The sequence below is a fragment of the Homo sapiens genome, chromosome 3, assembly GCF_000001405.40.
Source record: "Homo sapiens chromosome 3, GRCh38.p14 Primary Assembly".
Lineage (NCBI taxonomy): Eukaryota > Metazoa > Chordata > Mammalia > Primates > Hominidae > Homo > Homo sapiens.
Genome location: NC_000003.12, coordinates 141,810,535 through 141,828,469, shown reverse-complemented (window position 1 = coordinate 141,828,469; position 17,935 = coordinate 141,810,535). Strand labels below are relative to the sequence as shown.

The 17,935-nt window shown below is 43.4% G+C and overlaps 1 protein-coding gene across 2 annotated transcripts in view; it reads right to left on the bottom strand.

Annotated features, from left to right (window-relative positions):
• Positions 1-9,117: 9,117 nt before the first annotated feature.
• The window catches only part of GRK7 (G protein-coupled receptor kinase 7), a 69,369-nt gene continuing 60,551 nt past the window's right edge, over positions 9,118-17,935 (bottom strand). The window contains exon 6 of one of the 2 annotated variants that reach the window (NM_139209.3): positions 9,118-11,756. In NM_139209.3, the coding sequence (NP_631948.1) occupies positions 11,420-11,756 (337 nt within the window). In that variant the 3' untranslated portion in view covers positions 9,118-11,419. The remainder of the gene's footprint in view (positions 11,757-17,935) is intronic. The other variant, XM_047447449.1, reaches the window with a different exon arrangement.

Here is a 17,935-nt window from a genome sequence, read left to right as displayed (position 1 = left end):
TCCTTTATAAGAAAAGTTTGAGTTTGACACATACAGTGGGAAGACCATGAGAAGACACAGAGAGGACAGCCATCTACAAGCCAAAGAGTGAGGCCTTGGAGGAAATCAACCTAGACAGCACCTTGATCTCAGACTTCAAGCCTCTAGAACAGTGAAAAGATAAATTTCGGGTGTTTAAGCCACTCAGTGTGTGGCACTTTATTATGGTAACCCAAACACACTAAGACAGAGGTGAAGGGGTCATTTGCATGTCTATAGATGAGAATCATTTTAAGTTCCCATTAGTTACCTATAATTTATGGAGTCGTAGAATAGCTCCCTTAGAATCAGATAACCCACCCCCTGGCAGCCAAGTGCCCTGGTGCCCACCCCCGTCAAGCCCGAAAGATGGGGAGGTGGGGTGGCAGGAGTTTCTGTCCCCCATATTCCATACACGTCCCCCTCTCCTCCCTCCTAGTGAGCAGGGGCCTGCAAGGCATCACTCCCAGCCCCTCGCCCTCTTGGGCACCCTCAGCAAAGGGGCGGGTGGGGACACTCCAAGTGGGGCAGCTCTCCCTACACGTGCCCCAACCCCATGAGCCAGTTCAACCCTATCAGGGGCTGAGCAGGGGCATCCCCTCCTTTTTTCATAGTCTCCGTGGATGTCCTCGCCCTGTAGCCACAAGCCCCTTGCTGCTCTCCTTTAATGCCAAAGGGCCCCTGCCTAGGACACAGGCCCAACCTGTGTGGTGGGGTCCCCAGCAGCAAACACTGGAACGTCTTTTTTCTTTTGCTTTCTTCTTCCCCACCCCTTAATTTTAACTTTGTGGTAACTAAGTGTCCCTGAGTGCCAGCTGAATGTGCGGGCGGCAGTGCCGTTCCGGAGGCCTGGTCCATCTGCAGTTTTGAGGGGTGAGGGGACCAGCGTGGGGGTTAGTTAGCTTCCCTTCCCCACCTGCAACCAGGGACTGCCCGGGTAACTAGCTTTGATCCTGTCTGCTCCCTCCCTGATCCCTCCCCTGCTCATGTCCCTTCTCTATGAACTTAAATTGAAAACCGCTTCCCTCCATCTCTCCTCCCGCTCCCATGTGGAGGGGGAATGTGTGCTGGCCAGGGTGGAGGACTGAGCACCTGAGCCTGGGGCTGGCTCCCCCGGGGTCCCCGACTCAGCTGGTGGCTGTGGAGCTGAGTCCCCTCCCCATAACCCCTGGGAGGCCAGCACCCACCATCACTACCTGCACCTGCTGTGGTCCCACCTTCTGGAGGCCTGGGAACCTGGCTGCAGACTGGGAAGGCTGGAGAGGCAGACGGCAGCACCCACCAGCTCTCTTCCCACCCTGCCTCTTCCCCGGGAGCCATGCCCTACCTGTGTGGTGCTGGGTGGGCTGACTGTCAAGACATGTGTCATGTACATTTGTATCAGAAATAAAGAAGTGACCACACACACACACACACACATACACAATCAGCTAACCCAGTCAGTTTAATAATAAGAGTTAATTTATGACTAGAATCAGCAAACTGCTTGTGGTCAAATCTAGCCCTACTGCCTGTTTTTGTAAATAAAGTTTGTTTTCTTTTTTTGAGGCAGGGTTTCACTGTGTCGCCCAGGTTGGAATAGCTGAGACTATAGGCATGTGCCACCGTGCCCACACCTAGCTAAAGTTTGTATTTTTGGTAGAGACAGGGTTTCACCATGTTGCCCAGGCTGGTCTCTGAAACTCCTGGGCTCAAAGCATACACCCGCCTCAGCCTCCAAAAGTGTTGGGATTACAGGTGTGAGCCACTGTGCCCAGCCAATAAAGTTTTATTATAACACTTATATATGGCTGCTTTCACAAGACAAAGACAGAGTTAAGAAGATGCATCCGCAAAGTCTAAAATGTTTACTACCTGGTCTTTTTTTTTTTTTTTTTTTTGAGATGGAGTCTCGCTCTGTCGCCCAGGCTGGAGTGCAGTGGCGCGATCTCGGCTCACGGCAAGCTCCGCCTCCCGGGTTCAGCCCGTTCTCCTGCCTCAGCCTCCTGAGTAGCTGGGACTACAGGCGCCTGCCACCACGCCCGGCTAATTTTTTTTTTTTTTTTTTGGTATTTTTAGTAGAGACGGGGTTTCATTGTGTTAGCCAGGATGGTCTCGATCTCCTGACCTTGTGATCTGCCCGTCTCGGCCTCCCAAAGTGCTGGGATTACAGGCGTGAGCCACCGAGCCCAGCCACTATCTGGTCTTTTACAGAGAAAGTTGTAGAGCCTTCTCTAGACAATGCATGGTTTTCCATTGAAACACAAATGTTTCCCTACAATTGGAAGGTCATTCAAGGTCATCCAGCTCAGGGATTCCTAGATTTTAAGATCTTATGGGTAAAATTTCAAAATAAAATTTTGAGGATAGTTATAGGGTCTCTAGTGTTTACTTTTGTCAAATATAACTACCTCATGAAAGAACACATTTTAACTACTCATATTTTAAAGTGAATAGCATATGAAATAGCATATGAAATCTTGCTGCATTATTCTTTCTTTAATTTCTCTGAGTTTTGGTAAAAACTCCACCCCTGAACAGACAGTTAATGGTCTAGATTGTGGAACCATTGACCTGGCCCAATCTCAGGCACTAGCTGCTGGCTCTGTCCAGAAAGGCTGCTGGCTTGGGCCCAGAGTCACGGCCTTACTCCTGTACTCAAGCTGATGCCCTCTGGGGAGAAGGGGCGTGTTCTCTGGGGGGTGGTTATTGCCAGAGCCAGCTTGTGCATGTGTCACACACCCCCTCCAATGATGATGGGTCTTGCCTGGCTTTAAATAATATGTTTTTTCCTAATTAAAAAAAAAAATAAATGCTCAGTGCAGAAAACATGGGAAAAAAATGGAAAGTACAAAATTCATCTTCACTCAGAGAGATGTAAAGATTTACTGATACACAGGGGGATTAAAAACAGTTTGCAATCTAAAAATCCTAAAGAGACAAAACCTAGCATATGTCTCAGAACTATCATGGAGCCTGGCACATGGCAGACGCCAATATTTATTGACATAACAGGCCAGGCGTGGTGGCTCAGAATGCCTGTAATCCCAGCACTTTGGGAGGCTGAGGTGGGTGGATCACAAGGTCAAAAGTTTGAGACCAGTCTGACCAACATGGTGAAACCACATCTGTACTAAAAATACAAAAATTCCCTGGGCGTGGTGGTGGGCGCCAGTAATCCCAACTACTCAGGAGGCTGAGGCAGGAGAATTGCTTGAACCCGGGAGGTGGAGGTTGCAGCAAGCTGAGATCATGCCACTGCACTCCAGCCTGGGCGACAGAGTGAGACTCCGTCTCAAAAAAAAAAAAAAAAAAAAAAAGACAGAAAGAAAGAACAAATAAGTCTGAATAACTGCAATGATTTTTCCCAGATGACTCAAGAAAATTCAGGGTCTCTTTTATTTTTATTTTTATTTGTTTATTTTTTGAGACAGAGTCTTGCTGTATTGCCCAGGCTGGAGTGCAATGGCATGATCTTGGCTCACTGCAACCTCGCCTCCCAGATTCAAGTGATTCTCCTGCCTCAGTCTCCTGAGTAGTTGGAATTACAGGTGCCCACCACCATGTCTGGCTTTTTTTTTTTTTTTTTTTTTGTATTTTTAGTAGAGACGGGGTTTCACCTTGTTGGCCAGGCTGGTCTCGAACTCCGGAGCTCATGATCTACCTGCCTTGGCTTCCCAAAGTGCTATGGTTACAGGTGCAAACCACCATGCCAGCCAATTTATTTTTTAATAATCTAAATAGCTAATATGGTCAGTCTTCCAGGTAAAAAAATACTTGTGCTTATCTTTTTTCCTTATGTACTTTGTATCATTTTTTCCCTTTTAAGATTTATGGCTGGGCGCAGTGGCTCATGCCTGTAATCCCAGCACTTTGGGAGACCCCGGTGGGCAAATCACTTGAGGTCAGAAGTTTGAGACCAGCCTGGCCAACATGGTGAAACCCCATCTCTACTAAAAATACAAAAATTAGCTAGGCGTGGTGGTGCATGCCTGTAGTCCCAGCTACTCGGGAGCTGAGGCAGGAGAATCACTTGAATCCGGGAGGCAGAGGTTGCAGTGAGCTGAGATGGCACTATCGCACTCCAGCCTGGGTGACAGAGCAAGTCTCCGTCTCAAAAAAAAAAAAAAAATTTATAACTGCCAAGAAAAACAATTTAAGAAGCAAGGATTATTTGTGTTCATTAGTTTTCATCATATTTTACTGTCTGAACAATTTATTTAAATTGTCTTATTAAACTGCCCTAATGATACATGCAGTATAGTGATATTTAGAAATTGATCTAGTAGACTTCAATTAATTTATTTATTTACTTTTGAGACAAGGTCTTGCTCTGTTTACCCACGCTGGAGTGCCAGTGGTGTGATCATGGCTCACTGCAGCCTCCTGGGCTCAATCAATCCTCCTGCCTCAGCCTCCCAAGTAGTTGGGACTATAGGCATACGCCAGCACGCTTGGTTAATTTTTGTATTGTTTTCAGAGACAGGGTTTTGCCCAGGCTGATCTTGAGCTCCTGGGCTCAAGTGATCCTCTTGCCTTGGCCTTCCAAGGTGCTGGGATTACAGGCGTGCACCGCCAAACCTGGTCCGTCTGGTAGACTTTAATGATTTCAAAAGATATGCCTCGCAATTTCTAAGAAGCAAAAATTGTTGAATTATTTCACATTTATGCCTGATTACCTAAATGAGAAACATGTTAAAATTTATATTCAGGCCATGCATGGTGGCTCACGCCTGTAATCCCAGCATTTTGGGAGGCCAAGGCGGGTGGGTCATGGGAGGTCAGAAGTTCTAGACCAGCCTGGCCAACATGGTGAAACCCCATCTCTACTAAAAACACAAAAAATTAGCCAGTGTGGTGGCAGGCTCCTGTAATCTCAGCTACTTGGGAGGTTGAGGCAGGAGAATCACTTGAACTCGGGAGGTGGAGGTTGCAGTGAGCCGAGATTGCACCATTGCACTCCAGCCTGGGCAACAAGAGCAAAGCTCTGTCTCCAAAAAAAAAAAAAAAAAAAAAAAAAAAAAAAAAAAAATTATATTTAAAACAAAAAATTGAGGCTGGGTACAGTGTCTCACACCTGTAATCCCAGCACTTTGGGAGGCTGAGGCGAAAGGATCACTTGAGGCCAGGAGTTCAAAAGACCTGCCTGGGCAACATATCTACCAAAATTAAAAATAAAAATAAAAAATTGAGAACAATTTTCAACCCTTTGTGGCTTGCAAAGGTAAAATTAATAACTTCATACTATTTCCTATAAAAACATCATTCATATCTTCTGCCTTGCACAGCTGTTCTCAGCCCCTTCCCGCAGTTTATTAACTCCATCTCCTCCTTTGAGAAACAAACATTCAAAATAATCCCTGATAAACTGGAAGAATAAAAATGACTTCTCCCTGGTTCTTCTTTGTCTAAATATTTAACTCACATATATCTTTGTTTCCCCTGACATTTCATTATGTTTAATGAGATTTTCTATTAAAACATAAGGTCATTTTAACTTTTAAAAAATAAGCAAGCATCATGTCTTTTCTTTCTTTCTTTCTTTTTTTTTTTTTTTTTTTTTTAGATAGAGTCTCTCTCTTGTCACCCAGGCTGTAGTGCAGTGGTGCCATCTTGGCTCACTGCAACCTCTGCCTCCTGGGTTCAAGCAATTCTCTGCCTCAGCCTACCAAGTAGCTGGGATTACAGGCGCCCACCACCACACCCGGCTAATTTTTTTGTATTTTTAGTAGAGATGGGGTTTCACCATCTTGGCCAGGCTGGTCTTGAACTCCTGACCTTGTGATCCACCCGCCTTGGCCTCCCAAAGTGCTGGGATTACAGGCATGAGCCACCATGCCTGGCCCAGCATCTTGTCTTTTCAAAAATTACATCCTTCCTTTGATGAGGCAACTGGCTGCATCTGATTTAAATCTTTCCTTAACCCCCCAGCCCAACAACACCCTGCACCTATCCCTTGCATTTCTCCACCCCTCGAACATTTAACCTCCTGGGTCAGGCCTGCCCCTCACCTGCCCATGTCATGGTAAGCCTCCTGCACTCTGACTCGATCCAGATGGGAGCCCACATATGACAGAGAGGCCTAGGAGCAGCCTTGGACCCTAACTTCCCCACTCATTCTACTTAGATTTTTCTTTCACTGTGTATGAAAATTTTCCTTCTCAACTACTTCCAGGGACCCAGATCTCTTTCTTCTCTTACTTCCTCTAAAACTTTTCATTACGGCGTCCTGGTTCAGGCCTTAGTGGTTTTGTCCCCTGATCATTCCCTCTCAATCCACTGTTACTGGCCACAGTCTTCAACAGATTATGCCCCTCCTGTGTGCAAGTCATGCACTACTGGCTTCATATACCTGATTTCTGGTCTTCACAACAACCCTGTGAAGCTGTGGGACTTGAGGTACAAAATCTCTATGAGCTTCCATTTCCTGATTTAGAATGTGAATATTAACACTAACAGGAGCCTACATTCTGTATTCCACACCACATTACCTTTCTTACATGGCTGTCTTTTCTCTATGTTGTCCCCAATGCCACACTGTGTATAATTAGATCTCAAGACACACTTGGTTATTTTTATTTACTATTTTTATAATTATTGACTACTGCTATGGTTTGGGTCTGTGTCTCCACCAAATCTCATGTGGAATTGTAATCCCCAATGTTGGAGGAGGGGCCTGGTGGGAGATGATTGGATCATGGGGGTATCTTTCCCCCTTGCTGTTCTCATGACAGTGAGTGAGTTCTCACGAGATCCAGTTGTTTAAAAGTGTGTGGCATTTGTCTCCCTCTTCCTCCTTCAGCAGCCATGTAAGACGTGACTGCTTCCCCTTTGCCTTTAGCCATGATTGTAAGTTTCCTGAGGCCTCAGCCATGCTTCCTGTATAGCTTGTGGAACAGTGAGCCAATTAAACCTCTTTTCTTTATAAATTACCCAGTTTCAGGTTTTTTTTTTTTTTTTGCAGTTGCAAGGTTTAATAGTGAAGACAGAGCTCCCATACAAAGGGAGGGGACCCAAAGAGGGTAGCCATTGCCGGCTCGAATGCCTGGGTTTATATCCCGCTGTGCTCTCAGGCAATAGATGATTGGCTATTTCTTTACCTCCTGTTTTTTGTCTAATTAGCATTTTAGTGAGCTCTCTCTACTATCTGATTGGCCAGGTGTGAGCTAAGTTGCAAGCCCTGTGTTTAAAGGTGGAAGTGGTCACCTTCCCAGCTAGGCTTAGGGATTCTTAGTCGGCCTAGGAAATCCAGCTAGTCCTGTCTGTCAGTCCCCCATCTCAACAGGAAAACCCAAGTGCTGTTGGGGAGGTTGGCCGATGATGGCTCTAACTGCTTCCTGCTGAACTGGGGCATAGTAGGGGTTGTGCAGTTGAGATTTCCTTGGGAGGGGTGCCTTTGATGTCATTAACATCGGAGCATGGGCTAGCAGGCTGGTCCAGGGGTCTGTGGTAGATCTTAGTCACGGACAGCATCTGGGGCTCCATTTGAAGAATGATTTGTAGTTTTACAGCTTCAATTCTGGAAGAGACAAACTTAACAAGGAGGTTAAAGATACAGGCTCCAAAGAGGAGTAACAATATTATTGCTGCTAGAGGTCCTAAGAAGGGGAGAATCCAGGGCATCCATTGACTGAGGAGGCCCCAAGGTCCAGTGTTTTGAAGCTCCTCTGCTCTATGTTGTATTCTATCTCAAATTTCTTTACCTTTCTCGGTGATGATTCCGGATTGATTAACATAATAATAGCATTCTTCCCCTAAAAATAAACAGGTTCCCCCCCCTTTTGGCGGTTAGCAAGTCTAAAGCTCTTTGATTTTGAAGGACTACTGCTGCTAGGGAGTTAAGTTGATCTTGCAAGGTGACCAGGGAGTCGGCAACCCATTCCATGTCACCATTTAGTTCTTGGGATAGTTTGTAGTAGAACTGAGTAGAGGTTGTGATACTGCCAATGCCAGCACCTAGTCCACCTAGCACTCCTGCTCTGATAACAAAAGGAAGAATGGGTACTCTTTTGTTGCAGGGCTTAGGTACAACATAATTGTATAAATCTTGTTCAGTGTAGATGGTCATAGGGGGCACTAAGAATGAGAGGAAGCACATAGATTCTGAAGAGCCATTCAAACAACGATAGGCTGAGGTGCCACAGACAAAAATATTCCTGGGGGTAGGCAGACTATTCCTGTGGGAGGAGTTATTCACCTGATGCATTGGGAGTTGGTTGTGTCTATAGTATTGCTAAATTTTACATAGGTGAGGTTTGAGGTATGGGTTATTTCCAGATTGGAAACAAGAGGTCCTACCAAAACGGAAGTGGTGTTTATTTCTGTGCTGAAGTTGTTCCATTGTTCAGGTACAGGGATTGAAATGTATGACCTGAAGTGCAGGGGGAGGCACATCCAACAGTTAGTAGGGTTTTGGGCTGAGACCTCATGGAGCCCAGTGAGGGCGGTATTAAATAGGCTTACCAGGCGAGTATGGGTACAGAGGGTTTCATGTAGTTTTGAGAGATCTAGTCCTTTGTAGGGGCTAGGGGTGCTATGTACCCAGGTCAGTTGGGAGATTACTTCCTTTACGTGTTTTTCTCTAGCCTGATCTTGAACTCCACCCCTATCAGACATATCAGTATGGGTGAAGTAAGTCCAACAGACAGTGGCTCCAAGTCCTCCAGGACAACTAGGATTAATCTTTTTTTTTTTTTTTTTTCTGAGACAGAGCCTTGCTCTGTCACCCAGGCTGGAGTCCAGTGGCTGAATCTCGGCTCACTGCAACCTCCTCCTCCCAGGTTGAAGCAATCCTCCTGTCTCAGCCTTCCTAGTAGCTGGGATTATAGGCACACACCACCACACCTGGCTAATTTGTATATTTTTAGTGGAGACAGGATTTTACCATGTTGGCCAGGCTGGTCTCAAACTCCTAATCTCAGGTGATCTGCCTGCCTTGGACTCCCAAAGTGCTGGGATTGCAGGCGTGAGCCACCATGCCCAGCCTCAGGTATTTCTTTATAGCAGTGTGAGAATGGATTAATACAACTACTTATTCAGTTATTTTCCTAAGTTAGTTCTAAGATATAAAACAGATTTGCATTTAAAGTTTATTGAAAGCAGAGGCAATTCACACTAAGGAACCAATGCAACAAGACATTTTTATTTTTTTATCTCTCCAAATTTTTTGTCCTTTTAAAAACTGAGATATTTATCTTTAATTATTAGTTTGCATTTGTCCCTCTGCCAGCTTTAAGGCATAATCAACAAATAACCAATGTTGTTTTTAAATGTCTAACGTCTATAAAGCCCAATCCTGAGAACTCTACCATTGGAGTGCTCTGGTTAATTGGATTTCTGTTAATCACCAATCAGTTTTTTTGTTAAAAGGGACTTGTTCAAAACTTAACCAAACTTTAATTTACTTTCTTACTTCAGGAAAAAAAAAAATCTCCTGGGCACACTTCTATCCTGCTTTGGTGACACAGAAATCTAAGCATCCTAGGTTAGGATTTGGAGCATTAGGGAGCATGCTGAGGATGGAGGAGGAGCGGGAAAGTGAGCCGCAGGTGCACCGGCCGAGGCCTCAACTCTCAGAGGGCTTCTTCTTAACTTGTTCCAGGTGTGGTTAATGCTGTCTTGTAGATGAGTATTACTGTTATTCAGATTCCAGTTAACCAACATTTTTTTGACCGGCACTTTTGCAGCTCTTGAATCCTTAACTCAAGGGACAAAACTTTTAAACTGACTTCAGCCAGGTTTTTTTTACCACTGGGATAAATTTAGATTTTATTATGTGCACATACATCCTTTTAAAAAATATCACTCAGCTTTATATTTGTATCCCAAATATTTTTTCGCAGCTGTAGAATTCTCACCTTGGCTGTGCTTTTGAGAAGTGCTAATTCTACCATACAGTGTTGGCTGGGCAGCCACTTGAAATGATGGTTAGTATTTTTTCAATTCAATTTCTTTTCTGTTTTTTTTGTTTTGTTTTGTTTTGTTTTTTTTTGAGATAGAGTCTTGCTCTTGCTGCCCAGCCTGGAGTGCAATGTTGCGATCTTGGCTCACTACAACCTCCGCCTCCTGGGTTCAAGCAATTCTCCTGCCTCAGGCTCCCGGGTAACTGGGATTATAGATGTGCACCACCACACCGGGCTAATTTTTGTATTTTTAGTAGAGACGGGGTTTACAACATGTTGGCCAGGCTAGTCTTGAGCCCCTGACCTCATGATCCATCTGCCTTGGCCTCCCAAAGTGCTGGAATTGCAGGCATGAGCCACCGCACCTGGCCTGTTCAACTCAATTTCTAAGCCCATAGGTCTCCTTCAGGACTTGAAATAGCCAAGAGACCGAGCTCCCAAGATACGTGTGAGAAACTAAAGTGTGCAAGGACAAGAGAAGCCATAAGATGAATAGACTGTCTTGTTTCATTTATACTGCAATTACTAAAATGACATGCTTTGGGGACATTTGAAAAGTTGCCATCAAAATGTATGATTGAAGTTTTGAGCAACCAAAATAAGATTGAATGTAATAACATTCAAATGTGCACAGCAGTGCCTGCCAAACTCTGCTGCACATTAGAATCACCTGGGGAGCTTCTGAAATTCTAAATGGTCAAGCTGTTCTCATACCTGGGAGTGGGGATCAGAATGTCTATGGATGGGAATCAGGCATTAGTTTTTTAAAAGATCCCTAGATGATTCCAAAGTTCAGCAGAGTTTGGGAACCGATGGCATATGGTAGTGCAAGTTGAAGCAATTTGTACCATATTACTTAAAGGACTCAACTAAATTTACAGAATGCTTTAATTCACAGATGTCATGGATGTTTATGTTTAAAATGCTTCAACATTATGATAGTAAATTATTTCCACAAAATTGCAAAAGAAACTGTCACTGAAATTGAAAATTATTCTGTGATTTAAAACATTGCCAAAATATTGTAATCCACTCCTTTTTAGGGGGAGAATGTCAGAAACATTTGTTTCCAGCTTCAAAATCCTTTTTATAAGTATAGAAGCGAAGAAAGATGAAGGGAAAAAAAGATATAAACAAAGAAAAACTAAAATGATTATTTACTAAGAATTGCAAATGCTCATTTTCTGGGCACACCACAAAGTTCCATTCTCTGTTCCTAGGACTTTGCGTAATACACAGGGACATGATGGTAAAAGGCTGATGCTTTCAGTTTATCAAAATAAACCTGAGTGTTCCTTTTCCCTGCCCTCAGTGAAAACTGAGACTTTACTCATCTTTATGAAGAAAGAAAAAGAAAATAAAATGTGTTCTAGTAGTGAGCTTGCCTGTCTTTTGAATTGTTTTGTGGTTGTGATGTCCCTCCTAACTGATTAGCCCTCATTCCACAGATTTCCACGTGTGGAACATTCGAGGATTATGTCAGCCGAGACTCCTGCTGCCTGTCTGGTAAAGAGAGCAATTTACAATAACAAACACACGCCAGACTTGGATGAATTACCCTCCTCACAACCCGTAGGTCTGTTGGGGTCATTCAGTTCCTCAAACAGTCCCGTTTCTATAATTTCTTCCTGCCATGCTATAGGAACAGCACCTGTCGCAAAGTTTTTGAAGAACTGCTTATCTTTGTCATCAAATTCCACCCCCCGAACCTCAGAGAAATCATCAATTTCAGCGATGTCTTTGGCATAAACCACTGAAGGGTCTGGCACAAATGGGGGTTCAATTAGGCCAGCTTCCAGGCGAGGAAAGTTGATCGTTTTAAAGAAATGATGTTTCCTGGGATCATCAGACTTTTCTCTGTGAAGAAAGGAGATGATCAGCCTGAGACAGAGTTAACAAAACAAAATGGGACATGTTCTAACAATACAAAGTGTGTAGCATTCTTTTCTTACATTTTATTTTAATTGCAAAGACAATATAATAACATAAAGAATAACTGAAAAATAATAACTTTTGAAATCACCCCAAATTCCCGTATAAGTAGACAGTAGCATTCTCATTATTTGCAGACAGCTTTCACCTGTAGATGCAATTTTTAAACAGTGAAGCTTTGGACATGACTTTTATTCTTGGTGTTTCATGGAAATACTATGAAAGTTCTGTAGAAACACACCTGCTTGCCTGCAGCTTCCAGTCATTGCCTCTTCAGGGTCACACAGAACAAGTTAAGCATATCTCTGTCCCACACAACCACCACTCCCATTTAAAAAGGCAGCACTCATATCCCTTTATTGGTAATATGATATGATTTCTACAAGCCCCACTTACCTCCCCAACTGCCACAATAATCTTGGTGTTATTTCTTTAAAGACTTAACAAAATCCATTAGTAATTTGCAGTAGTATAAATTTAGTACTCAAGACTATGATTATTATTATCAAACCCTCCATCTCTATGCTAGAAATTATTAGAGTATCTAAAGAAAAAAGTATGTTCCCAACTGTGTAACCTCTACTATTAATTTAGTTTTCTATTGCTGTGTAACAAATTGCCCCAAAATTTAGTGCCTTAAAACAACAAACATTTATTATGTCACAGCTTCTGAGGGTCAAGAATCTGGACATGGCTTAACTGGGTGTCTCTGTCTCAGAGTCTCTTGTGAGGTTGCAGTAAAGCTGCTGGCTGAGACTGTGGTCTCATCTGAAGGCTCAGCTGAGGCTGGGGGATTTGCTTCCAAGCTCACTCATGTGGTTATTGTCAAGCCTCCATCCTGTATCACATGAGCCTCCACAGGGCTGTCTTGAAACATTGCAGCTGGCTTTCCCAAGGCCAGTGATCACACACACACACACACACACACACACACACACAGCTCAAAATAGAAGCCATAGTTTTTTTTAATAACCTAATCTTAGAAGTGACATCTCATCACTTCTGCCATATTCTATTTCTTACTGAAGGAAGACCACACTTAAGGCAAAGGGATTATACATGAGTATGAATGCCAGGATGTGGGGATCATTGGGAGCCATCTTAGGGGCTGCCTACCATACTCCTCTTGGTTACTCTTAAATCTAGGTTGCAACAAAATAAAAAGTGGGCTGTTTTGTGGCATCAGATTCAAAACGATTCTTTTCTTTTAAAAAATGTGAATATATTTCCTGGTCTGATTAAGAAACATCTTCCACATACAAGTGGACAACAAACATATGAAAAAATGCTCATTATCACTAATCATCAGATAAAAGTCAATTAAAACCACAATGAGATACCATCTCATACCAGTCAGAATAGCTATTACTAAGAAAAAACAAACAAACAAACAAACAAACAAACAAAAAAAACCAACCAGACATGGTGGCTCATGCCTGTAATCCTAGCACTTTGAGAGGCCAAGGCAGGCAGATTGCCTGAGCTCAGGAGTTTGAGACCAGCCTGGGCAACATGGTGAAACCCCATCTCTACTAAAATACAAAAAATTAGACAGGTGTGACAGAGTGTGCCTGTAGTCCCAGCTACTCAGGAGGCTGAGGCAAGAGAATTGCTTGAACCCAGGAGGCGGAGATTGCAGTGAGCCAAGATTGTGCCACTGCACTCCAGCCTGGGTGACAGAGAGAGACTCCGTCTCTAAAAAAAAAAAAAAAAAAAAACCAACCAACAAACCAACCAAACAAACAAACAAAAACAGATATTGGAGGGGCTGCAGAGAAAAGAGAATGCTTACACATTGTTGATGGGAAGGTAAATTAGTTCAGCCATTCTGGAAAGCAGTTTGGAGAGTTCTCGAAGAACTAAAAATATAACTACCATTTGACCCAGCAATCCTATTACTTGTACATACCCAAAGGGAAATAAATTGTTCTACCTAAAAGACATACACTCATATGTTCATCACAGCACCATTCACAATAGCAAAGACACGGAATCAACTAAGGAGTCCATAAATGGTGGATTGAATAAAGAAAGTGTGGTACATACACAATATGGAATAATATGCAGCCATAAAAAGGAATGAAATCATGTTCTTTGCAGCAACATAGAAGCAGCTGGAGACCATTTTCTTAAGTGAACTAACATAGAAACAGAAAACCAAGTACCGCATGTTTTCACTTATAAGTGGGAGCTAAACATTGGGTAAACATGGACATAAAGATGGGAACAGCAGACACAGGGGACTACTAGATGTTTTGGGGGTGTGGCAAGGGTTGAAAAACTACCTATTGAGTACTATGCTCACTACTTGGTGATAGATTCAATTGCATCCAAAACCTCAGCATTACACAATATGTCTTTGTAAAAAACCTGCACATATACTCCCTGAATCTAAAATAAAAGATTTTTTTTTAAAGAAATGTCTTCCTTTTAAAAGAAGTCAGTTTCTGCCATAAGTCAACCTCAATTAGAAATTAATCATATTCATGGTCTCTCCTTTACATTTTCCATTCAAGATATCAAAAAGCTTTTTGGGAAAGGATTGAGAGCTTGCCCCATATATTCCTTTCAGAGATTCCCCACTATGTCAGATGATAACTACAACAGACTCTGCCCAGCAAGACGACTAAGGCAACACCCAATAATGGCACAACTAATAACAAGAATGAGGATAACTGACATTTATTCAGGGCCTACTGTCAGTTAACACAACATTCAGCTCTTCACTTATATTATTACATTCAACCAGTACAACAGCCCTGTCTCTAAGTCCTGTATTTTTGACTCCTTTATGTGCTTCTGCATTCATGAATAACTGTGCATCTGAGGAAGCCAGAGTAAATAGGTGACTTTTTCAAAGGAAAATGTATAATTAAATTTTATTATGAAAAGAGAAACTTAATTGGAGGCATCTGATGATCCAGTGATTCCTTGGGTTCTTGTTCTGTGACCCAGCCCTACCCACTTCCAGAAAGGTCTATCCGGAACTTCTTGGACTTTTCCCACTGTGTATGGAGACCTGGATCAAAAGGTGCTACAAGGGGTGTCTTTTCTAAAAGCCACCAAGTCTCCACCAACTGAAAGAAAGAAAATGCAGGCTTGCCATCTACCAGAACCGACTGCCCCAGTGTCTGTGTGGTTTACATCTTGTAGGTTAAGAGCCTTGAGGGAGAGTTACTGAGATAAATGGAAGCTTCAAAAATAGATTTTTAGGCCGGGCACCATGGCTCACACCTGTAATCCCAGCATTTTGGGAGGCCAAAGCGGGTGGATCTCCTGAGGCCAGGAGTTTGAGACCAGCCTGGCCAACATGGTGAAACCCTGTCTCTACTAAAAAATACAAAAATTAGTCAGGCGTGGTGGCACATGCCTATAATCCCAGTTACTTGGGAGGCTGAGAGAGGAGAATTTCTTGAACCTGGGAGGCAAAGGTTGCAGTGAGCCGAGATCGGGCCATTGCAGTCCAGCCTGGGTGACAGAGCAAGACTCTCTCATAAAACAAAACAAACAAACAAACGAACAAACAGATTTTTTAAAAGTCAGATTATTGAGGTATAATTTACACAGAAATATTCACCTTTTAAAGGTATCAGATGGATTTTTAAACATGGCAGAAGGATAGAGCTAGAATGCCATCCAAATAAATCAGGAATGAGCCCCAGACCTGCATGTCTCAAAGAGAATGAAGGCATTGGAATGGGACTAGGTGCCACAGGGAAGATCTTGCATCACTTCCATGATCACTGGCGGGCATGAATTGAACACACTGTGTCAGGTGTCAAAAGGGCCCTTAAAACCCAGTCTAAGCAGCTTTCACATGAGTAAATGGAGACGCCCAGGAGCTTGGTAACTCGGGAGACTTGCCAGACCAGTCTTTACATCAGGATGAACAGTTCTCACATGGCGTCTCAAGCACACCATGCCCAGGGAGCCTTGGTTTGTCCATCAGGGGTGGCTGACTGCAGCCCTTTTGCAACTAATTATAAAAGACAAGGAAACCATGGGTCACTCTGAGGTTTCCTTTATGTTCTTCAACAACCCAACTAGATGCCCCTGGAGGGCAGGATTCATGCCTTGTATACCTTTTCCCAAGAAATGTCTGTGGGTGCTGCTGCTACCAGTGAAGACTGGGCTTTCCAATCTCTATTCCTTGTTCTTGTGGCTGGGCCACCACAAAAATGATGTCTTTGATCTTTTGCATTAGCAACTCCCACCACAGTTCCGTCATTAAAATAGCAGGCTGATTATTTCACTCTTACATCTTTCCCTGGCAGTTCTGTGCAGGGCTCTTTCGGCCCATCATTGTGCGGTACACTTTGAACAAATAGGAGAGGCTGTTGCTGGAGGCAGTATCTTTTGTAACAGCCAAAGAGGCAGCTGCAGGGAGGACTTCTGCTCATTGGAGTGGAATATATTTCAGAGCATTAACAGAGGCTCTCGTACTATGGAACCCCACACAGAGATTACAATGGATTTTCTTATAATAGTCAATGAAGCAAAGATACCACCCGCCTATACATGAGGCCCACAAGGGAATTTGGTCTGCCAAGAACCATGAAATTGTTTGTTGGAGAAGCACTTAAATCAGAGATTTTCACGATTATTTGCTGTTGTTCTGCTGCACTGCCTGATCAGAATAAAACCTGCAAAAACTTAAGTGGTCTTCAGCACTTATTTTATTGGAAGACCCTGTAGTTGATCCCATCTGGAGCCCCTGGAGATGCTCAGAAAAGCTTTTGGCTTCTCTGCAAAATTATCTCCCAGACCCATAAAGGCAAAGAAGGTAATCCTTTTCAGTGATGTCTAAAGGAGAAGGGTCTTTAATTCATTTCAAATGCTTAAGAAGGCAACAGGGAGGGAGCATTTGAACTCTGCTGTGTAACATGCTGTCGAGGCATTTGCCTTGGCTTGGAGGATGCCCACTACATTAATCCAACGTGATCTCGTTTGATTAAATTTTTTAAAAATATAAAGAGTTGAAATAAAAGTGTTGGAAGATTCTGCAATTATAGAGGCCGTAAGAAAAAAAAATGTTGGAAGATTTTCTGTTTCACTGAACAGCTGTTTTTTATATGCCTTTCCTCTAATGTTGTAAAGTCTTATTCAAAACAGTCACAACAACAGATGCTTTACTAAAAAGGCTTTGCTTGAGGAAGCAGCTTCAGGGAGTGACCAGTCTTTAGTGTGCTTTAAAGTGTTTACAGTGCTTTAAGGTAGCATTTTCATGAAATTTGTTAATATTTCATTTTATAAACCCAAAGTCTGCTTATAGAGTATTAAGATATATTTTATTTTATTTTTGTTTTTTTAATTTTTTTTTGAGACAGAGTTTTGCTCTTATTGCCCAGGCTGGAGTGCAGTGGCGCGATCTTGGCTCACTTCAACCTCCGCCTCCCAGGTTCAAGCTATTCCCCTGCCTCAGCCTCCTGAGTAGCTGGGATTACAGGCACCCGCCACTGCACCCGGCTAATATTTTGTATTTTTTTAGTAGAGAGGGGGTTTCATCATGTTGGCCAACCTGGTCTCGAACTCCTGACCTCAGGTGACCCACCCGCCTTGGCCTCCCAAAGTGCTGGGATTACAGGTATGAGACACCGCGCCCGGCCAAGATAGATTTTAAATCAAACGTGGGAATTGAGGCATCCAAGTGGGTGTTGTTCCCTTCAGGGAAGTCATCTAAACAGACTGTCCTCCTGACTCAGCCACTGCTCCCGCACCTTTGGATACTCACTGAACTTGAAGATCATGAGGGTAGAGATTGTTAGTGATTGTCAGTGGTCACCATATCCTATTTGATTCTCACTCCTGGGCACGCAGAAGACACTAGTCAGCACCCTTACCCGTAGGCAGGACCCAAGGACTAGTTCTGGCCAACAGAACCGTGTGTGAAGTGTGTGGGATCGAGACCATCCTGGCCAACATGGTGAAACCCCGTCTCTACTAAAAATACAAAAAGTAGCTGGGTGTGGTGGTGGGTGCCTGTAATCCCAGCTACTCGGGAGGCCAAGGCAGAAGAATTGCTTGAACCTGGGAGGCTGAGAGATTGCAGTGAGCCAAGATTGTGCCATTGCACTCCAGCCTGGGCAGCAGAGCAAGACTCTGTC